Source organism: Homo sapiens, chromosome 12 (genome assembly GCF_000001405.40).
Source record: "Homo sapiens chromosome 12, GRCh38.p14 Primary Assembly".
In the NCBI taxonomy this organism is placed as follows: Eukaryota; Metazoa; Chordata; class Mammalia; order Primates; family Hominidae; genus Homo; species Homo sapiens.
In genome coordinates, this window is record NC_000012.12 from 13,826,141 (window position 1) to 13,850,309 (window position 24,169).

General features: G+C 41.0%; 1 protein-coding gene and 1 long non-coding RNA gene across 7 annotated transcripts in view; one reads left to right on the top strand and one right to left on the bottom strand.

Moving 5' to 3' along the window:
- GRIN2B (glutamate ionotropic receptor NMDA type subunit 2B) overlaps nucleotides 1-24,169 on the bottom strand; it is a 444,798-nt gene that overhangs the window by 288,804 nt on the left and 131,825 nt on the right. The window lies entirely within an intron of this gene.
- LOC105369667 (uncharacterized) lies at nucleotides 7,300-11,988 on the top strand. Of its 2 annotated transcripts, none has more exons than XR_931370.4 (3): nucleotides 7,300-7,364; nucleotides 10,524-10,638; nucleotides 11,881-11,988. It is a non-coding gene; the product is annotated as an uncharacterized LOC105369667 (long non-coding RNA). The 2 variants fall into 2 exon arrangements; XR_007063216.1 differs by lacking the exon at nucleotides 7,300-7,364 and adding an exon at nucleotides 8,383-8,504.

The window sequence follows — 24,169 nt, forward strand, 5'->3', positions numbered from 1 at the left end:
TGTGCTTCTTGAAACTGCTACACTCCTTCTTCAAATACTATTACACCAGGCCAGGCAAGGTGGTTCACTCCTATAATCCCAGCACTTTGGGAGGCCGAGGTGGGCGGATCACTTGAGGTTGGGAGTTCGAGACCATTCTGACCAACACAGAGAAACCCCGTCTCTAATAAAAATACAAAAATTAGCCAGGCATGGTGGTGCATGCCTGTAATCTCAGCTACTCTGGAGGCTGAGGCAGGAGAATCGCTTGAACCCAGGAGGCGGAGGTTGCGGTGAGCCGAGATCATGCTATTGCACTCCAGCCTGGGCAACCAGTGAAACTTCATTTCAAAAAATAAATAAATAATATTTTGCCACTAAATAGATAGTATAGGACACTTCCAACAGTAAATTTCACCCCTCCCCTCATTCTTAGGGCTACTTATGGCTGTTTTTAATATTTTTCTCTTTATTGCTAATTTTCAGCAGTTTTATTTATAATGTGCCTTATTGTTGTTTTCTTTTTTTTAGTTTGGGATTTACTGAACTTATCATATGTTTTACTTCAATATACATCATAAACCCCACTATACACTGTTTAGTTTTTTGCTTTACATGGCTAGTTATTTTTTCAGGATTTTTAATAATGTTTATAAATTCCCACCAATTTACTATGTCTGATGTTCTTCAATCCATTTTGTAGTTCTAAGTTTATATCTGATACCATTTTTCTTTTGCCTGAAAAACGTTAATAATTCTGAAATACAAATGTACCATTGACTAATTACCTCAGCTTTTTTTTTCCTCTGAAAGCCTTTATTTTGCCTTTACATAGATAAAAAGATATTTTTGTATCTTTTTAAAAGATATTTTTGCTAGGTGTAGAGTTCTTTGTTGAGAGGTTTTTTTTTTTAATGTTTTTCAGTATTTTAAGGACATCAGTCCATTTTTCCTGACTTGCATATTTTATGATGAGAAGTCTGCTGCTATTTTAACCTTTGTTAGTTTGAATATTATATGTCTTTTTTTCCCTCTGGCTGTTTTAAATATTTTTCTCTTTATTGCTAGTTTTCAGCAATTTTGTTTATAATGTGCCTTATTGTTGTTTTCTTTTTTTTTTTTTTTTGAGTTTGGGATTTACTGAACTTCTTAAATCTGTTGATTTATAGTTTTTATCAATTGTTTTCACCAAATAATTTCATATAGTTTTAATCAAATGTGGAATTCTATTTTTATGCATTAATTCTTCCAATATTTTTCTTTGCTTTTCCCTTCTGGGTCTCTAATTATATACATGTGGACTGATAGATAATTTCCTATGAGTCTCTAAAACAGTTCATACTGTTCTTTTTACTCTCTGTGCTTCATTTTCTTTTGCTATACTCTAGATCCTTCATATTTTATTACAATGCCTAATCTACCATTAATCTCATCCAGTTCATTTTTAGTTCAAATATTTTTTCTTTAAGTTCCACTGAGTCATTTAAAAGATGTCTTTCATTTTTCTTCTTCATCATGTTCATGTCTTCCTTTATATCTCTGAACATATTTATAACACGTCTTTCTTTGGGTGGGGGGTGGGGACAGAGTTTCACTCTGTCGCCCAGGGTGGAGTGCGGTGGTATGATCTTGGCTCACTGCAACCTCCACCTCCCGGGTTCAAGCGATTCTCCTGCCTCGGCCTCCCAAGTAGCTGGAACTACAGGCGCATGCCACCACTCCCGGCTAATTTTTGTATTTTTAGTAGAAACAAGGTTTCCCTATATTGGCCAGGCTGGTCTCGAACTCCTGACCTCGTGATCTGCCCGCCTCAGCCTCCCAAAGTGCTGGGATTCCAGGCGTGAGCCACCGCACCCAGCCTATAATAGGTCTTTTAATATTCTTTACTAATATTGTGAATATCTTTGTTATTTCTCCGTCTGTTTCTACCATTTTTTTCTTGTTTATGGGTCATATTTCCTACTGTGTATGTGTGTATGTGCATGTGCACATATTCATGTGTGTAATAATTTTTGAAGCTCCTGTTTAAAATGTGAGACCTTTTTGGCAGGAAGTAGCATTCAGGTTAGTTTGTTCCTCTTTATGGCATTATCTAATAACCTTTATTTTAGCACTTATTTATCCCTGCCTCTAAGATATGGCTCTTCTGAGATCTCTATTAAGTCTCAATGAGTTCTTTCTACTCTAGCTTAAGAGAACTAGAATGGCCTCTGGCCCAGTGGGAATTCTGGGAATTGTTCTTCTTATGGCTCCTTGATAATTGTTTTTTTCCACAGAAAGTAACCTTGTCCAGACATGGAATTTCACCTATAATATGCACAGATTTGAGCAAAAACTCAAAAGGAACCCAGCGCATATTACCGGAGCTCCTTCTAACCTTAGGAATTCCATCCCACAAAACTCTCATGCCTTATCCTCCCCAAATGCTGATCTCTGTCTCCTCAACTCAGTCAGATTGCTGGGTTACTCCTCATTGAACCTCAGTCCTGGAATTATCTCCAGGTAAACAGCCTAGAAAAACCTTACTTTTCTTTTCTCAGGAATAATAATCCTGTGCTACCCATTGTCCAATGTCTAAAAGTAGCCATTTTCTTTTCCCCCTTCCAATTTTCTAGTTATTTATGGTGGGAGGGTAATTTCAGATTGCCACACTCCCTCATGGCTGGAAGTGAAAGTATCACAATTTTTGTTTCTAATGTTCAAATCAGATCATATAGTTCCTGCTTATAAACCTTCAGTGGCTTCATATTACACATGAAATTAAATCCAGTCTTTACCCTGGCCTCTAAAGAAAGATATACATTATCTGGTGCCTGTCTTTTTTTCTGACCTTGATTTCTATCAATCTTCCCTTGCTCACTATATTCTAGCCACATTTGCTTGCTTTCTGCTCTACACTTCCATACTGGAGCCCTTCACCTTGCTGTTAACCCTTCCTAGGGTAATTCTACCATAGAAGAGGCCATCACATAGGGGGCATCCTCTTGTCATTTAACCTCGGTTCAAACTTTACCTTCTCAGTAATGGCTTCACTGAACACACAATACAAATTAGCTATTCATCCAATCACCTTTCATTAAAAGATCCCATTTTATTTTCTTAATAGAAATTACTACTGTCTAAAATAATTGTTTATTGATGTGTTTTATCTGACCACTCCCAGAGCAGAAGATGTAACTGCCATTAGATCTAAGATATGTCTATTTACTCCGGAATATCCACCACCTAGAAGAGTGTCTGCATATACTAGGTACTCAATATGTGTTGAGTTACATATTGTTTATTTTTAATGAAAATTCAGAACATAGAGATAGGCTTGTGACCTCGATTGATAAGAAAAGATGGTGCGGGAATTGAGCCCTTAACGTTGCCACTGCCCTGTCTTTCTAATTGTTCTTTCTTTGCTCCCACTCCTGCTTTATCATCTGCAGCCCTGGCCTAACAGCTAATTTGAGAAGACCCAATGATAATGCAGGTTAACTAAGTCTTGGTTGAGTATTTGAGATTTATCTTTATCCAAATTAAAATTGGAATCCTCTTCAATGTCCATTTCTAAGAGGGTGATGTGGGAGGGAAGGGAAGTCCTGGGAAGTCCACCTGTTTAGGTTCAGAAAACCTTTCTTTTCCTTTCTCAGATGAAGATATTCCTGAGTTCAGAGAGAAGGATAGAAAGATGACTTTTATCAAAGCAGTTGCTCCATGCTTATACTATGGAGTCCCTACGACAGCTCTCTGACTTAAAGAAAGGACCTGCCTCAAAGAGTCTTCTCCTTCTTCTTCCCAACATGTTGTGAGAAGGTAAAGGAGTGAAGTGGTAAAGTGAGCTGGCAGGTAAGGCAGTAGGGGTAGGAGGGGCTGGGAGGATGGAACAAGAGTCTGTGTGGCAGTTCTAATCCACTCTTTAAAGCACCTGAGACCCACTATCTGGAAGGCAGAGATTGTCTGTCACTGTGTCATCAAAAATGAGTTCTGTTAACAAGCTGAATATAGGAGATATTTGACAAAAGCAGGGGACTTTAAAGAAGGATGTATCTAAGGTCAGGGATTATAACTTGGGCAGCAACCCAAAACAAAAGCAGGGCACAGTTAGTAAACTCATACTTTTTGTTATGATTGAATAATATGGTTTTTGTGAATTGTATTATAACCTGTTAGTACACAGACTCTTTCAGCTAAGAAAACTATCAGTACTGCAAAAACTGAAACAAATAAGGTTAAGGTACTCATGCTTCTACTTTGAGAAATAAGTCTTTTTCAACACATGACTTCTAGATTTATGATCCTGCAGAAATACCCAGAGATACCATTTCTTTCATTTCTTAATGAACATGAGAGTCATAGAGAAACTATAGCAAACATAGTAGGAGAAAAAAACAAATGTCCTAATATTCTCTGGAGCAAACACAAGCATTAGCTTTTCTTTCACACATATTAGCTTATCTTTAAAAGATCTTATCAGAAGAAGGCCAAATGTATCTGTGTATATATATTGACACACAAAATATGTATCTGTTCTATATTACATTTTATATATATGTACACCCTCCCCAGCTAAGAAACTAAGCCACAAGATAGCATCAGGCATACATACAGATCAAAAGCCCTGTTAAAGCAGGCTTAATTCACGGGCAACATTTCTGCCTGAATATTCCTTAAAGAATCTTTTTTCTGCAAGAGAAGAGGAAATAAGGCCTAACAGGAAAAATCTCAATGCATATAACATCGTGGTCATCTGCCCTGCCTTATCACAGGTACATATGGAAAAATGCAAGTGCTGTAGTTTGACCGTCCAAACCTTTGTTGAAATTCGATCCCCAATGTTGGAGGTGGGTCCTAATGGGAAGTGTTTGGGTCATGGAGGTGGATCTCTCATGAATGGCTTGGTGCCCTCCTCAAGGCAATGAGTGTGTTCTCAATCTATTAGCTGCTGTGAAAGTCACCCTAAGAGCAGGTTGTTAAAAAGAGTCTTGCACCTTCCTGCTTCCGCTCTCCCACCTCGTGGTCTCTGGACACACCAGCTCCCCTTCACCTTCCACCTTCAGAGGAAGCAGCATGAAGCCCTGACTAGAAGCAAATGATGGCGCCATGCTTCATGTACAGCCTGCAGAAGTGTAAGCCAAATAATCCTCTTTTCTTTATAAATTACTTAGCCTCAGGTACTCCTTTATAGCAACATAAATGAACTAAGACAGCAGGCAAGTTAATTTTCTGATTCTCCATAGAACCAGTACAAGTAAATTCTAAGTTGCCCCAAATGACAATGACAGAGCTGGGAGAATTCTCAGTGTTTATTAACTGCTGGTGATCCTCTCTTCTAGGATCCCCTAGAAGATGCCAGCTCAGGCCCAACAGGCATGGAGTCACAGAAGAGGTTACTAAAACCAAGGGCTATGGAGAGGGAGATTAGCATAATGCCAGACCAAGCAACACTCAATAAATGTGATGGATTGAAAGGGACTGAAATTGAGTAGGAGAAAGGGAACACGTTAGGAATAGGCAAGGACAGTAGAAGAAGAAAAAGAGGCTCATGTGGGGGAGCCCGGTAACTGCCACCCACAATTCCCTCTAGACCAATGTCATAGGCCCCTTGTCTGCACCAGGCCAGACCTGGCCGCCTCCTTGGTGAAAGGTTTTTAGTCTCTTTTCTTATTCAGCCTTATAAACACTGTGTGCTGACATATCCAGAAACAAATATTAATGTGACTGTTCTTAAGAGAAACAAATCAGCAGGCCCAAAATAAATACAATAAGCAGTACCCTGTGTTTCATTAGTGTTCTATCATCTTTTCAGGAGAACGTGCCTTTGGAAGAAACACTTTCATATGTCTGTTCCAAAATACAGGCTTCCATATATAGATGGGCTTTTCTTTCTTCCCCTGGTGGTGAAGGGCAGTGGGGGGCAGGGTAGCATGTTTTTGTAAGTTTATTTTTATTTATTGGTGCTGGCCAACAGAAGTAGAAGGATAAATTTAAAGAAAGGTGGTGTTTACAAATGAAAATAGAGTCCATGAAAATTTAGCAACTTTCTAAGAACTATGTTTCTTCTTACACGTATTTATTCTTATTATGAGAACATTATAAAGCATGCTCATAAATCAAAGAATTATTAAAAAGATACAGAAGAACATTTACATCATCTGTGCTACTTTTCATTCAGATATAACATTATTTTGGTGTCTATATGTAATCTGCTTTAAATGCTCACATCTTCATAGTACAAACATGTATTCCTCCTCATCTCACCCTTATCCTCTGAAATATACCACATCAAACATAGTATTCGAGAGTGTACACCTTCCACACTACTACTGAATAAAACCTCCCAGAGTAGAGACCCCTCATGCCCACTGGATGGGAGTTTGAAGTCTAGAGTCTGTCTGATTTGCCACCCTATTCTCAGTGTCTAGTATAGTGTCTTGAACACAGCAGGCACTCAATAAATATTTGTTGATTATAATTTTAACCTGCCTTTTTCATGTATTTATAGAAATGACATTTTCCTATTTCATTATTATTCTCTTCTATAACATGATTTTTAATGGTTGCTTATCATCCATACCATAATTTAATTTAACCAGCCCTTCATCACTGAACATGTAAAATGTTTCAAATTACTCACCGTGATAACTAATGCTATGATGACCACCTTTCAAGTAAATATTTTTGCATTGTCATAGGATCAATTTCTGTAAGTTGAATAGCAGTGATGGGTATACATATTTTGAGGCTTTTATTGCCAAACTGTCTTCACAAAGGTCACTCCAATTTATATGTTTACCATGAAATTATGAAAGTCTCTATTTCCCTGCACTCACATCAACACTATATATTTTAATTAAAAAAAATCGTCATTCTGATGAATAAAACATATCATGAATAAATAGTATGGAGGAACAAAGCGGATCATGTAAAAGTGGCTCTGTATACTGGATGATATACAAATGTTCATTGTTAAAGTACTTATTACAGTGGTTGGAAGCTTCTTGAGAACAGTGTCTAGCACAGTGCATGACATATGATATGGTATTAAAAATTATCATCCCCTGAACTGAAAGTAGACAGAGGATGTAGACTTGTATTAACTCATGGGTATATCATCAACCTGAACTAGAAAGATGCCTGATCACTAAAACATCTCACAATTTCAATCCTTCCACTCAGAGGTAGGTACTCAAACAGGAGAATTGCCAGGCCTGGTCCTCACGAGGAGATGAATACCCTAGAACCTGGCTTAGGACAGTCACAATGGGCCTCGGAACCTTCTTCCCCTCCATCTCCTCTGCATATTGGCCTTTTGCTTATTCCAGTTTTGCTCTCCAGCCCTTCCCTGATTCCCAAGTCTGGTTCTTTAAGTTAACTGAGAATGTGTTCTGTTACAAATTCAGGTGTGTTCTCATTAGTTTTCCTGAAGGACCTCTGAGCCCAAGATACTCCACATCTTGAATTCCTACTATCTGGCTTATCTCCCACTCTGACCTAAAACGAGGCTGTCATCATGTTGCCACCTGATAGGTAACTTTTAACAAACAGCAGGTGCAAACATGGGACTGATAGAAACAAACAACATCCTTGCAACCGAAGGGGCTCAACAGCCCCCACTTCACTCCCATTCCTACCCCATTTTACAGATGCAGAAATGAAGGCCCCAGAGCATAAGGGACTTTTCCACAGTACCACGGATTGTTAATGGCACAGCAGGTATCACAGGTCCTTCCTACTACCCCAGGATTCCTCCCTAATGAAGATTACAGATGAAAAAAAAATGAAGGTCATTCCAGCGATGCTTTCTGAATGTGGTCAAAAGTGTGTCATTTGAAAGCTTGCTGCCTCGTGATGTACACATGCCCACTGCCTACAGAAAAGGTGCAAGGTGAAAACACAGTAGTCTCTTTGCTAACTTCTTTTTTTTTTTTTTTTTTTTTTTTTTTTGAGACGGAGTCTCGCACTGTCTCCCAGGCTAGAGTGCAGTGGTGCAATCTTGGCTCACTGCAAGCTCTGCCTCCCGTGTTCATGCCATTCTCCTGCCTCAGCCTCCTGAGTAGCTGGGACTACAGGTGCCCACCACCACGCCTGGCTAATTTTTTTTTTTTTTTTTTTTTAGTAGAGATGGGGTTTCACCGTGTTAGCCACAATGGTCTGGATCTCCTGACCTCGTGATCCACCCTCCTCGGCCTCCCAAAGTGCTGTGATGACAGGCATGAGCCACCATGCCCAGCCCTCTTAGCTAACTTCTAGAACTAGAAGAGGCTGTCCACAGGAAGTTCCACCAGCAGCTTTAGCTCAAGCTCCAGCAACACATCAAAGGGCCACGTCATGTTTCACTTACAATGCAGGGTGTCATCTTTGACCTACATGTGACTGCACCAGTGTTATTTCCCACTCTGGGCCCACATATCAGCAGCCCTGACACTGCCTGGGTTCCCATCATGTCACTGTCTGGCTGCAGTGGACCTCGTCCCTGGGTCAACTCTTGTCTTGTTTACCTGGCTAATTGTCTTGGTGCTCTCCCTTCGGCCCTTTCACAGGTGAATATGCAGGGAACAGAGGGGAAGGTGTGAATGAATTAAATCTGAGAATTTTGTGCCTTTTGTCCAAGGATTTCAGAGATAGCCACTTTATAGCCAAACATTTGGAAGCCATGATTTCTGTCTTCCAAAAGCAATCACCATCTAAGCCAGTAAATCTCAACTTCTGTATATTAGAGTCAACTGGAGAGCATTTAAAAATAATTCTAATGCCCAAGCTGCACCCTGAAACAATTACATCAGACTCTTTATGGGAGCGACCCAGGCATCTGTATTTTTTTAAACTCCCCAGGCAATTCCAAAGTGCAGCCAAGTTTGCGCATCTCTGCTCTAAGTGTGGGCCAAGGAGCCTTCTCTAATTGGCCTTCATGTGCCAAGGACAGAGCACCAGCAATTAAAATAAGAAACAGGAGAGTTAAATCGGTCTTGCTTTTCTCATTCTCTTTCTTTCCCCATTTTTATAACAGACTGTAATTCAACTGGCTCAAAGAGCTATCTACAATCTATGGAGCAGAAATAATCCTGAAGGAAAGGAACGCCTCCATCCCACAGCCTTCTCTTTTTCTTTTTTTAAAACATTGACCAGTTTTTGTCCTTACCCTCAGATTACAGAGCTTTCTTGATTTGAAGTTCATATTTTCCTGGGATCCTAAAATGAGTGGTACAGAAAAAGCTGAGGCGCATGCACCCTCATTTATCCTGAATCCTGTCTATCTTGTGAGCATCCCCTAAAGGGAGCACGTGCCTGGGAAGAAGTTTCTGGGAAATAATATTTAAAATCCAAGCCACAGTTGTCTCTTCCTTACCTCTTGCCATTCACAAAAGGGTTTTACGTAAAACAGAAATTCATTTGCTACCAGCCCAGCCCAGAAAAAAAACAGGCATCAGGAGAAAACCTCACAGAAAGGGCTCTCAGAAGGCCACGGAAATGGCAGCCCCACAGACATAGACCCACGTGCAATGGGGAAAAGGATGAGCTTGGAGAGAACATCAGGAAGGCACCCCCTTTAGCCTTCAGACCTCTCCAGTTCTGGGGACAGGTACTTAAATTAGCATTCTCAGGGAGAAAGGCAGGGATGGATGTAAAGAGGCACAGGAGTTGTATGAGAGGGAAAACATAGCACATTAAAAAAAAAAAAAAAAAAAAAAAAGAAAGCCAGCAGGAATATGTCCTAATTTGGAGAAACAGGCCACATTGCCATGGCAACTCTGAATCTCCACAAGGCAGCCAGGCATGCCTTTAAACATCATGTTAAATAGTTCAACTATGAAGAAGAAGAAAGAAAAGAGTGTAAGGGAGGTTTGAGAGAGGAGGAAGAGCCCTGAAGCCTGCTGAGGGCCAGAGGGAGAGGCTGCCCAAGGCCCAGCCATTCTTCAAGAGAAATTTCATACAGCGAAGCTGCAAGTCCTGAACTGGATCTTTTCTCTCTGATCTGGGCAGGTTGGGGACTGCATTTGTATGTAGTTAACCTGTATCTTCAGAAAGATTCTCCCAAAGCCACACAGCTGCCAGCCCAGTACTCCTCATCCTCTTTTCCAGGGCTGCCAGCCCCACAGCAAACCTGCCTGCCATACTCAGGCCTTTCCCAGGAGACTTGACGGGCATGTGATCTTGTGCCGTTGGGGAAGTGAACCCAGCAGTCCTGAGGGCTGAGCACAGCAATTATTCGGCCACACCTGTAACCATGCATGGAACACTGGTTAGGAATTCTGGCCTAAGGGGGAAGAAAAAACATTTTATTTATTCAAAAAATGTAAAAGCCACCTGGAAACCATGCCTAAATGAAGTTATGCCATGTGTGGTCCTTTGGGATCAAGCCAGTGATGCTGGCAATTCAGGGAAGAGTTTTCTGCGTGGCTCTGAACCTTTGGAAAATAGGAATAAGAATATAAAACTGTTCTCCCATCTGGAACATTAATTACTCAAATTATGCACTTAATGTTCAGCATTCATTTCACCCTGCAACTAGTTCTCAATCACATTGCCTTCCACATTACTTTGTCTCTTTTTTCTTTCAGAAGTCTCTCCCCTAGTCCTTCTGGCCTGTTTGCCTGCTCTGCCTTTCCCCTTTTCTCTTCTGTTGGGACCTGGAGATCTTCTGACAGAGCCCTGTGAGCTGAGCAGCTCCAGCAGGTGAGGGCCAAGCCAGAAGCTGAGAAGGAGAAGCAAATGGTCCCATGCCTCATGGCACACTCAGATGCCACTGTGAGAAGTGGTGTGTGTCATAGGTGTCCAGGTAACCTGATGAGCCCCGTACGGCCCGGGGAATGGAGAATGCATTCTTCTCTTAGCTAAACAACAACAATAATAATAGAAGCAGATGGGTGCACTGCTATCCCCGGGCTCTCTCTTTCTTTTTGTTCATTGGCTTACATCAAATCATTTTCTCTATAGATTTATTCTTAGCACACAAAACTGAAATTTCCACTTGCTCTGCTGTGCTCTCTCTGAAACTTTCCATTCCATAAACATCCCACAACTCAGAATGAGTCCATCTTATCTGTCCTGTATGGCCCTGACTCAAGGCAGAGGCCTCAAGGCCTTTAGGGGGCTTCACTATATCCCTAGCTAAAGGAAATCACACCTCTCCCACAAAACACACCCTCTCTTGGCCCTATCTCCTCCAACCAAGAGCAGATCTTTCTCTGAGACATGTCCTCCTCTACCACTTCACACATGCATGTCCTGGCCCAAACCACAGTCCCCCTGAGTCCTGCATTTCTGCACTTGTACAACAATCTCTACCTCACAGGATTGTTGGGAGGCATGCATAAAATATCTGTGGGGGAGGGAGGCATGGTGCCTGGCCCATTTGCAGGCTGGCAATCAGAAGGGCGCCCTTCTCAGCCAAGCATTGGACAGAGTGTTTAGTGAGGTAAGGCATTTCCTTCTATGTTAACCATACATGGCTGGCATTATTCCTGTTTTAACAGTGAGGAGCCTGAAGTTCCAAAAGGTTAAGTCATTGCCTAAGTTCACACAGACAGGAGCCAGCAAAACCAATTTTGACTTTCAAATTCACTGTCCTTAACCATGGCCTTCCTCTCGATGGTGGTGCAGGATGTCCAAATAGAAGGGCTTGGGGTTGGCGATCTGTTCAAAAGGCAGGGCTCAGCAGCTGTGCTGAGGCAGCACCACATAGCAAACACATCTACATTCAACATGTGTATTTATTTGGGATGGCTGCTATGGTGTGGGGAGAGGAAGGGGTTATAGCTGATGGAAATCTGTGAACAGCTAGAAGCTCCTACCTCCCTGCCTCCCTAGGAGCGGCCATGGGCACACTGCGTTTCTAACAAATGCAAATAAATATTAAATATTTGTTTAATAGAAAATACCATGCATTCTTTGACTGCAATTTTGCTTTTTCTCTAGTTGGATCTCCATGAATTACCAAGGGATGTAAAGACTTAGAAGAGAGTTACAAGAGGAAATGTAAAACCATCCATTTTTACCAAAATTAAATGTGCAAAAGGCTACATATCGGAGGGATGAGGACAGGAAAGAATAAGAGGTAAATAGCAAATGGGAAAATGAGAAAGGAAAACAAGAAGTGTTTAACAAACACTACTTAAAATTCTCCTCAAGACAAAGCCTGAAGCACAGTCAGCCTCGGCCCAAAGCACCTGCGTGGTCCATTTTCCACCCTTAAAGCCCCTGATATTCCCTTGGATGCTTCATTCTCTGAGGAAAAAACCCTAGTCTAAATCCATTTGATCCTGAAAACACAAAGGTCCATATCCGAAGCACCCCAGTCCTTCAGTGTAACCTTTCTTACCTTCCTAGTTCTCTCTCCTTTCCTCAGTTGAATAACCTGCATTTTAAAAATAACTGAATTATCCATGCATTGTTTTATCACATTACTTCAATGGCCTCTTCTGATTACAGCGCCAACCTTCTGGCCTCCACTTCCTACACTATCTGTCTCTTCCTGTCTGTCTTTTCTCCCCACCACCCCCCCATCTTATCTATTCCCTTTCCTGTCACCTCTTCAAGGATTAATAGGGTGAAAACACTCATTCCATCAGCAGTCACTGATGCTCAGGTGTGGCACAGGAGAATTTCTAACATGGCCTGGAAGCAATCTAATAGGAAGGGCGAGGAAGGGGAGTGGATGGAGAAGCCAGATGTCTTGCCCAAGAAATATCTGTATTTCAGGGTGGTGTGTAGAGGAAACTACCAGCTTGCTCCCAGTGCCCTGCTGATGCAAAGCAGCATAAATCTGCCTCTTCCCCTCTTACGTATTATTCCAGGCACTCCAGCATTCACATACTCATGTTCACTGACAACTGCCCCTCTTGGAAACACTCCACCAGGGAGCTCATCAGATAGCAGTCATTTAGCAAGGCCCCCAGTGCCTGAACCACTTTTTTTGCCAGCATATTCACCCATTCACTCTGCCAACACATGGCAAAAGAGGTGCCACCAAGGACTCTTCTGTTTATAACACCTACTGATCACACTCTGAGGTTAAGTCAGCTCTGGCACTGTGAAGCATACATGTGCAGAAAGGTGAATGAAGCTACAGCAAAGAATCCGTCATCTCTACAGTAGCCTGGCAGGCTGATTTTCTATCATCTAAAATTAATTATATGGCATAACATGCAGAGACATCCACAGAACAAGGGAGACAGGTTGGATCAGGGCTAAGAAGTACCTGAATGAGAGTGATGGAGCCCAGAAGCAGCTTTACCATGATTACTTACACAGAGGAGAGGTTGGGCTAGAATATTTTCCAGTTGGAGAAAATTTGAAAGTGGTTCAATCAGTGAAATGTAACCACACATACAATCGTCATGGTGAAAATCCCTGAGATGTTTTTCAGCTCCCTCTAGCCAGAATATGAACAATACCTAATGATTGTGCAGTGCTTATAGCTCAACGAAGCACTCTCATGTATCTCATTTCAGTCATTACATCATCCATTATTTTATGGACAAAGCAGCTTTGGCTCAGAGAGGTTCAGTGATCTGCCCAAGGTCATGCAGCTGGCAAGAGGCAGAGACAAACGGAAGCCCCAGGTGTCAGACAAAGGTCTTGTGACTGCACGCCTCAGATTGATGCCACCATGGTCCACAGTGCTCAGAGAAACAAGGACAGGAACAAGAAAGGCCCAAAGAACCGAGAACAATGTGTGTACTAAAGCCATCCAACAGCATCAATTGACTATAAAAATTCAGCTTCTTTAGTGACTCATAACCAGGTCAAAGCTTTGATTTTATTGAACGGTCCAGTAAGCTCATTCAATGGACATAAAAAAATCTCCATAATAGAAAATACGCATATGCATGTATATTTATCCCATATAGAAACCATGGGATATTTTTATACGTGAATCTTTTGGAATAAAATGTAATGTTTCTCCCCACCTAGCTAGAAGGAGAACAAGTGAGTTTACCTTAGAGTGAGGGATCAAACCACTTGTAACTCAAAGGGTGAGGTGTGTTTCACTCCATCTCTAAGAGGGCATTATGCATGCCACTACAGTGCGTAACGTACTGCTCTGTTTCAGCCTGTGCCTCTCAGTTCTGCCCCACCCAGCCCTCCATATCACTGGGGCCAACTTCACTCCCTCTGGATTTTGTTCATTCGGTAGGGATCCAAGCATTCTAGAAACATGGAGCTGGAAAGGAATTCAAGGTCATTTTGTTGAAAGGAAAAACAGCAGAATAAAATAGGTAAAAATTCCAAGGCTGAGAAACGTGCCTTGGATGCTTACTGTGCATTAGGAGGTGGCAGTAAATGAATGTATCAGTGCAGGGGACCTTGTGATTCGTAGACAAAGATACCTGATTTAGATCCTGGCTGCCCCTCTTACCTGCTGGACAACTTTGACAACAACTCAACATCTCTGGGCCCCAGTTTTCTTGTATATAAAATGGGAGTAATAATAATTACCTCACAGGATTATAGAAAAATAAAAACAAGATCATTAATGTCATATGTTAATTAATATAATGCAATTAAATAATATAGCCACTGTAATAAAATAAAAAATAAAGCACACAGCAAAGTACCTGATCAGTTCCAGTTAGGTTACTTTCTACCTTTTACCTGTCTAAAAATCACTGGATGTTTCTTTATTGATTGGTTCCAAAAATACTACTACATAGCTGACTTTTATCTTTCGTATGCTACATTCTCTGAGTTTTTTGTTGTTGGTGGTGATGGTGGTGGTGTTCTCTCTGAGCCCTGAATTGTTTGTCCTATCATTTTTTACATATTTCTAAAAATATAAGAACTCCTTCAGCTCCATTCTCCAGAGGGCAGAAACAAGAAGTAAAGAAAAATTGTTCCTCACTATGAGTATGAATAACGCCCTATAGCCATGTGTTTATTAAGTAATCATAGTTTTCCTCTTTTTACAAATATATATTGGAGCAGCATGAGATTCCTGTACATCAATGATATGACATGATATTAACTCAAAGCAAAGAAACATATTTTTCTTAGCCTAAGCAGCCTAGTTGTAGATAAATGTGAAGTTATGTTGGGTTTTGTAACACTAAAGACAACTTGATGAGCCCCAGGAGATGCAATTCTCATTGTATGGCTGAAGAAGCTGAGACCTAATGAATGATTTATCCAAGATCACACAGCTAGCCATGCCGGAGCCTAAACTCTAACCCAGTGTTTCTAACTCTCAGATAAGCCCTCTTACCTCTGTACCACACTTTTGATATAAACTTCCAACCAGAAAGTTGTGTAGATTCTATTTTCTCAGATTATTGATGAATATGTCACACGGGACAGAAATAAAAGGCTCGCTAAAGTCAAGACACAGTACATTGATCACTTCCCCCGCAATCCCGGAACCTCATCAGTCTGTCACTGCTGGAGATGATGATATCCCATAGGACCTCAGTGCCACACTTTTCACTGTGCTGTAATTTCTGTCAGAGAAACAAGACACGAGCAGAGCCCTTACCTGTCAGGCTCTAGCCTAACAGTTCAGGGGACGCATCTCGATCCACAGCTCTTAGAAGCAATTTCCTTGGAAACACTGTCTCTAGCAACAATATCTACACCAGTGCTTCCCAAACACTAGCCCATGGATCAATGACAATCCATGATAAAGTTATCACTGGCCCACAGAAAAATGAGAAAAATAAAAACAATGTATTGGGTTGTTGACACAGCGAGATGTATTCAATTTAAAGGACTGTTCTTTATTCTGAGATCATATATTTCTTAGTTTTGTTTGTAGTTTCCATATCCTTTGTTTTTTTAAAAAAAATATGGTATAGGACTATTTTTTAAAAGTCGAAATTGGAAAAATAACAATTCATCGTGCTACATCATGCCACCACTGCCACTATCATTATAAAATAATTAGTCTGCAAATTGAGAAATCAGAAACCTCTCCTCTAAGCAACTGGCAATAGAGGCTGTGTGCCTGGAAGGAGCAAAGTCCCCACCAAGACTGGTTCCCTCTTGGCCAAAAAGGAGGCTTGACGAAGGGACTGCCACTGCCAGTATGGGTCATGGGACATCAGGGAGCTTCGTATAACCATATCCCAATATGACACTCTCCACTCAAGTATCTTGTGAATTCAGCCACATAGGGGTTTCATTATGTTACAGTTCAGACTTCTGTTTTAAATTATTTGCTTTCATTTTTCACTTCAATTAACGTAGGTGGGTAACCACCTACCAGGTGTCAACATCACCAGCAGTTTTGATATGCATTATTTTTCTTAGTCCTATGAGATAAGCCCTTAAAATGTCCAAGGTATACCACACCCGGCTTTTGTAGCTCACTGCCGCAAACTTTTCATGATCGTCCCCCAGATCTTGGTTGCTCAAATTCAATCTTCCTCATCTAATTTCTGTGCCATTTTCTCCTTTTGTGATGCATTCTGCATACCACTATTGATTAAAACACTATGCATGTTCATCTATTTCTCCAGCTTCACCATACCCTCAGTGATTTGTACCACATCTAACACATAAAGGATGTTCTGAATGAGTAAAACTAATCCTAGACCACTTTCCAAAAAGCTAATCATTAGATAATTTGATGAAATTATCAAAATGTTGACTTCTTGCATAAAAATAAACCTGAAAAGTAGGCTAACTTCTACAGTTCATTATGGAAATAGGGTGAAAATGGGGTCTAGTGAAGTGATGGCAAAATTAATTAGGAGAATTATAACGAGATAATTCATATAAAGCTCTTACACATAGCAAGGGCTCCATACATAATAGTCTTCCTTTTCCAACTCCTTTTCTGATTAGTTGCTCATTGGAATGTTGTGAAGATTGGTTTTTCTTTTTTTTTTTTTTTTTTTTTTAGAAAATCTTATTGTTTTCAAAACACTGCTTTTTAATTTTTTGCGGTGTTTTGTTTTTTTTTAATTTTTACTTTTTAAAATTTTTTATTATTTATTTATTTATTTATTTATTTATATTTTATTTTAAGTTCCAGGATACATGTGCAGAATGTGTAGGCTTGCTACACTGGGGAAAAAAAAAAAAAAAACACTGCTTTTTAAAAACAATAATATCAACACTGGGCCCAGGAAAACCACCTCAAAAACACCATTTTGGCTTTTCTTATGTTCTCCTGAATCCCCATACACATCACACACACACACACTCGCACAGACACACACACAAATACTCACTTTCCAAATTTTGGTTGACATCTGATTGCTGATTACTATGAGTGTGATCTTCCAGACAACTGTGTCTGCATCAAGTACCCCTAGGGGTCATTCCCATTTGATTCTGTGTTAATATTTTTATAATTTTTGTATTTTTATAATATTTTCACAAAATTTCATAATTTTTCCATGAGGCCAAATCAGAAGCTTCTTCAAAGTAAAGATTAAATATACCTTTTTTTCTTAAAATGTCTGCACCTTCAGGCTTTCACAGGATATTAAATCAGTGTGACAGCACTTTTAGGAGCGTAGGTAAGCTACTAGAAGATTAGCACAATTTAATTCTAAGAACAGCTGGTAGTTGATAAATATTAAACAGTCAGAAGACAATTTAGGGCTAGAAGCACCAACATTCTAAGAATCATGTACAATTATTATGTCTGTTTTTGAAAGAGGCATTTTTAAAAATATTAGGAACACGTTGCAAATCTATCAAGATCCCATCATTTGTGAAGTCCAACATGACTTAGATTTTAACAATTTGTTTCCAGCCAATCACCAAATCTCTTTGAAATGTGTCATGTTATATTGGCATGCTTGTCTCTTTCTGTTTGTGCCTATGTATTCTATTTACACCACCCAGGGTAAAGTGATGTTTAATACTCATTTTAATACCAATGTTATCAAAATATATTTTAGCCTACATTCAACAGCTCTGGAGTAGGCCAAAACCTTTTCTCCTCATTATCACCTCAGTGAGAGTCCCTTGCCAGGATCTGGCTAGGAGGCTTATATCTGACAAAGCTTAATGAAGTGTTAATGAAGGGAAACCATCCCAGCCCATTTAGAGCTTTATTCAGAACAGATTTAAGAGTACTCTGGTAAAAGGCTTTAATAGTGGCTCTTTTTCTTCCCCAGGAGGGGACGGATAAGGTGAGAGGCTGTAGACTTAACTTGGTCATATTTGGCTTGAATGGTTTTGCCTTTTGTTCACTAAACTGAGGTTTAATCCTTCTCCTTATTTTAAAATTCCTCTGTATGGGTCCATTCCTCTGTATGGGCCTATGAATTCCTCATTCTAGATAGCTGCCCAACCTTTCCAATCAATGTCTAGGCCCTTAAGCATGCACTGTTAACATACCCATAGCTTCTTTTTCTTCCCTTTAAGTAACTTCTTCATCCTCTCTAGTCCCATCAAAGCTATTCATTTAACAGAAAACCATCAGCCAAGGTCTACAAAGAATTCCGTGGCCAAATCCTCTGCATTCCATTTGACTCCCCTGTGCTGACATGGCACCACTCATCAATCATAGCCATTCAGCACTCTTCAGTGTAGCTTACATGGTTCTCTTCTCTTGCAGCCATTAACTTAGGGGCCAGAAGACCTACATTCTAGTCCTAGCCTTGCCACTTAGTATTTCTCCATCTTTGACATATCATTTAACTTCTCAGAGACTTATGGTGATGATGGGGATAGTGACAATAGCTATCTTCACTTTTCAGAGAGAGAATTTGAGATGCAGTTTCCCATACTGCACAATCGTTATGAGTATCAAATTAAGGTAAAGTATATAAATTTACTTTGAAAACTGTAAAACATCATGAAAGGTAATATTTTGTTATCTTTATCTCCTACCTCCAGCCACATGTACTGTAGTGTTCCTTCCTGTTCTCTCTTCCAATTTTCCTTTCCTTTCTTTCTGGAAGACTCCCTGCTTTTCCAGTATGAATTTCTGCTGTACACGAATTTCTCTGCATACTTGAGCACTTCTTTCCTAAGTAGCTCATTAGAAGAATGCTTCAAGATGAGGAGTAAAGGGGCTGACTTCAGGGTGCCACATTTGGAGGAAATAAAAGAACTATCTATGGCCTGTGAGTAGTTGGGACACACCAGTTTCTGGAGTGTTCTTTGATCATTGAAGAGTCTCACCCAAATAGAATTTAGATTATCCAAATTTTCTTTCCATCTGTCTGCCTACGATTATCAGAAGTTCATATAATCTCTAATATATAGGCTTTCTACTATATACAGCCCCAAATGTCATTAATATTAACTTTTATCAATATCAATATATTTCATTAATATACTTTCAATCAATTATCTCAAACCACATTAAAATATCATATCCTCCCTCCCTACCCTAGTCCTAATTTCAGTTTGCCCTTGTCCTCACCTCTAATCAGGAGAGAGAAGAGATAGCAATTCATTACATCATATTATCTGTAGACTATGAACTATTAGAGAGGACTGGTATTTTGTTGACTTTAAAGTTCTACTAGAACTGATCTGGTAATCTGGAAAAGTAGGCCAGCTCCAGGAGAGAATTGAGATGTGGCCTCAGGCAAGTCACTTAATCTTTCTTGGCCTCAGTGTCCTCTATTGTAAAATAAGGGCATGAGACTAGTCTCTAAGATCCCTTCCAACCTTGATGGTCTTTGATACCATGTAGTAAGATAACATGTTCATCTGGATTTTTGTGGAGGGGTGAGGAATAGAGTGGAGTGGGGATGAAAATAGAGTGTGCCTTATTAGGAATTCCCTTTCCTTTCCCTACTGCATGTAAAGAGCTTCAACATTCTCTTTGCAACCTTTTATGTGCCAAATCTTAAAATCTGTCAGCAAGGATGCAGTTTAAAAATTCATAATTGGATCATACATCTTCAGATTTTACCACCACTGCTCATTTCCTTTGTTTACTTTAATCTACTCACCCTGAACCCTGTGCATTTTTGATGGCTTTCCACCTATTTATTCACTCACCTTTCCTTCACTCAACATTCTCTTCTCATGGACATCATACCAGAAACTTCTTGAATAGATTGTAAATCCCAACCCCTTTATTTTCAGATGAAGAACAAAGAAAGATTAAGGGACTTGCCCAGAGTCAAACAGCTATATGGATTATAAAGCAAAGATGAGAACCAGACCTCTTGATTTGGTAGTTTAGTTTAGGCTCTTTCCACTCTAACATCTACACCATGCAATGAATATTTCCATTCAACCCTATGGAGTACTCCAAAGAAGAATAAAGCCCTAAAAAGCGAGTAGCAGCATACCATCCGCTACATTGCCCATAAGACTTAAATTATTTTTAAAAATATTAGCCCTACTCTCTTTCCTTCTATTTCAAATATTGGTGACATATACCTTCCATTTTATATAATCCTAGTTGTGAATAATTGCATATTTTTCGCAGTTGCTTTGACAAATGAGGTTGAGACTTCTATAGACTTTATTGTTGCATCTCTACCTCAAATCCACCCAAACCAATCTTTTTCTTGTGTTGAGACTGCCTGCTGATATTCGACTCCACCACCATTTAGCTCAGTCAGTGCTGTAGGATCTATGTGAAAAAGCAATTAAATCATTTCTGTAATTATTCTCCCATGCTTATAAATAAATAAGAATTGCACATTCCCCCGGAAGCCACGAAGGGCCCAGAAACAGTGAATGACAGGGAGGAATGAATGAGGAAACATATTTGCGAAGGCAGTAAAAATTCAGTGAGGTGATGATAAATGAGAAAGTTGGAGAGTGAAAATAAGGAAATGGTTAAGAGTCGGGAAAATGGAAAGAGAAGCACAAAATTGGGAGAAAGGAGGGGAGGATTCCTAGGAACATTGGTAAAAATAAAAAACAATTAAGAAAGAAAGCAGTATAACAAAATAGACCCAGGAGCGAGAGAGAAAGAGAAAGGAGTGCAGGCAGAGGAAGGTTAAAAGAGGCCAAACACGTGTCGCGGTTGCTATTATTTTCCTTATTGCAAAGCTAAGGAAACTGAGGCAGAGAAGAGTTAAGCAGGCTAAGAACATAGAACTAATAAGGGAGAGCCAGAATCAGTCCAGGTCTGTCTGGGCCTGAATTCTATCTATTATATTGAGCTCAAACTCTTTTTCAATTTTTAAAATTACAAAATGTGAATCTATGATGATCTCACAACAAAATGTTTAATCTAAAAAATTTATATTATTATTCCTGATATCCCTTATCAATAAATTAGCTACAGCTCCTCACCCAGGCCCCCACTATGACCAAGCATATGGATGGGGAAGGTGGCTGCTGGAGGGAATCTCTGCCGTGGGATGGAAGAGCACTACAAGGTCCCACAGAGATAGGGCATTATGTCCTTGGGTGGCCTCATTACATGCTAAGTTCTAACCAACTGAACCAACTGGCCACAGACAATAAAGCTAATGTTTGATAGCTCCAAAAGTCAAGAGCAGACCACCTGGGAACTTTTAACTAATGCCAGGTCCAAAGGTAGGCTACAGAGGGGCCTCAGCACTGACAGGATGAAGCACGATGATGGCTGCGTGTACCACATAAGGTAGAAGCCGTGTGGAACAGTGGGTCACAGGAGATGGGGGGGAGGACAAGGTGGGAGAAGGGCAGAGAGACACGAACCAGAGATGCAATGATGGAGAGCAGGGAGCAGGGCAAGGAGAGAAAGGAGGACAGAGAGAAGGAACAATCAGAGAAGCCAAGAGGGGAAGAAACAAAGAAGGATGCATGCACAGGCAGGCTGAGATGAGTCCATGAGGGCAGGGAAAAGCAGCTGAGGGTTCTTAGTGCAGAAAGTAGGGTTAAGCCCTCTCTGTAGTGTGGATGGTTAAAACGGTCCATAAATCGTCGGAGTTCACCAATTTATGTGGACTTCCCTCCTCTGCCAGATTCTCTTCTACTTCCCAGAGCAGGTCCTGAAGTCCTTCTGCCTTAATAGACAAAATTCTCTCCAGGCTCCAGAGCAGGTATGGACAGTCCCCTGCTCAGCTGAGGACAACTGACACCCTCCTCAAGCAGCTCCCCTTCAGGGTTTCTGTTTGCAGCAAGGTATCCCAGCAGAGCCACCCCTCATGCTAGGATCAGAGAGGATCCCCACAAACGGTGGAATCTGTGGCCATCAGGAAAGTACCTTCCGTTTAAAATACATATTTCCCTTATGGTCCAATGGGGTATCTGAAATTCCACTATTACAAACTTCTTTCACTAAGTTAGAATACAAATGCCCCTAGGGAGGGAAACCCGTTAGTTGCTCTTGTCTATTTGGACCCTGGCAAGGACTTAGTGTTACAGACTGAAAGGAGGAAATTCTGGGGCCACGTGGAGGACAGACCCAGGACTGAATCGAACACTACTTCCTGGAGAAACCCCAGCAGTGCCAGGAGCAGAGGGAAGCAGGAAAAGAGTCCTCTGGGCAGGCAAAGGGCAGAAAAAAGGCACTGGAGAATTAGAGGTAGGAGCTGTCAAATGACAGAAAAGAACATGGAAAAGGAAGGAAAAAATGGTTAAAAGTAGATTCTTTTCCAATTGCATAACTTTTCCCTGAACTGACCATCAAGATCAAGATCACAAAGTGGCCATGATTGCTACTTGGAAGTTCCAGAAGCACACAAAAAAACCCTTTTCAAGCCCTAATGCTTCCTCCCACAGACAAAAAGCCAGCTCCAGATACTTCCAACTCTTAACAGCTTCAGAAGCCCCCACTACAATGACTAGTTAGCCTCTTTCTTGAACCCAACAGAGCACAAGAGTGGAATACACCAACGTGAGAGAAAGTGCTCTTCTCCTAGAGCATCTAGAAAGCTGAACGGTGTCCTTATCCCCCTCTCTGCTTTGCTGAGTAGTTTTCATAACAACCACTGAACTGGTTTCCCTTCTGGAAGAACTGAAATGACACCAGTAACTACTTGCTGGGTTACCAAGTCTTCCCTTTCATTGACCAGTGAGACTTCTCCTCGGGCACAGAAACTGCAGGGCCAAATGGGTGAAGTTCCATGACCCCAAATAGTACTTTCCTCAATAAAATTAGTCACCAATTTGTTCTTGGAGAACAACAGTGATGAGAGACCAGGGCATTCACGTCTGTATCAGCCTCTTCTGATACAGATGTGCTGGTTAGATGTCTGGAAAAAATGACATGGCAGGCAAGCAGGCAAGCAGGACAAGAACTGGGACTCTGGCCGCTGCTCTCTTTCTACCCTGCAGAGCAGCCCGGTCTTGAGTCCTGCTACTCAGCCAGTCCCTGTATTTGGCCAGAGCAAAGCTTCCGTGGCTTATATGAGTGTAACTGGACCTACAGCTGTCACAGCCGTTGGACAACTTCAGGTAATGTTGGTCTGAGCCATCAGTTCCCCTACTTCTCCCCTGCTTGGTCCTGGGAATTGTTGCACTCACACTTCCTGCCCCAATTCCTCTCTTCCTGGGCTCTGACTCCAGGCTTCAGACCTTATTTCCTGTTTTCAGTATCAACTCTGGCTTCTAGAGCCATCCTTCCAGAACAGAAGACTCTCTATGACCTCCATTCAGAGGGGCGGTGGGGGAAAGGTTCTGGCAGAGACCCCAGGCAAGCAGCCAGCTTGGGCCTAGGGGAAGAGAATTATTCACAGGATCACAGATGTTAGAGATGAAAAGAACTTGCAAAAACACATCTCACTCATCCATCCCACCTTGTAATGTAGGCTGTTTTCCAAGAGCATATGGCCTGTTCCCATCTGATTTCAAAGAATCTATCATTACCGACAAATACACACTGAGCACACCTCGTGTGCTCTGTGTTGTCCCAGTCATGAGGGGTGGAAACCAAGGGGCTCTCTTTCTCTAGAAAGGGCTTGCACACTGTGTGATAAATTTACTTCTCTCATGCATTGCCTGAGCCCGCCTAGATATCTGTCCCATCATGCTCACACAGATATCTTCCAAACACCTGAATACCCCTCTTGCAGATAAGCAAGCCTCTGATTATCCTGGGAAAATAATAGGGACAATAGATGCTGAAGGACCAGCAATGGGAGGAACTATGGGAGGGTGCTGAGGGGGACAATGGAAACAGCCTTTGGGCAACACCAACACTGACTGGTAAAGATTTTGGTCTGTGGTAACAGCAATTACAGCTGATTCTCTAAGACTATTCAAGAAGTAAGAAGGAAAAGATTGCTCTAAGACCTATCGCCATCCAGGATAGTGAGGAAAGGATACTCTCTTCCTTGTCAACTTCTCATCTACTGAGATGGAATCCTAGACCTTAGACTGATGTGCACTCAATTTTATTTTCTCCTCA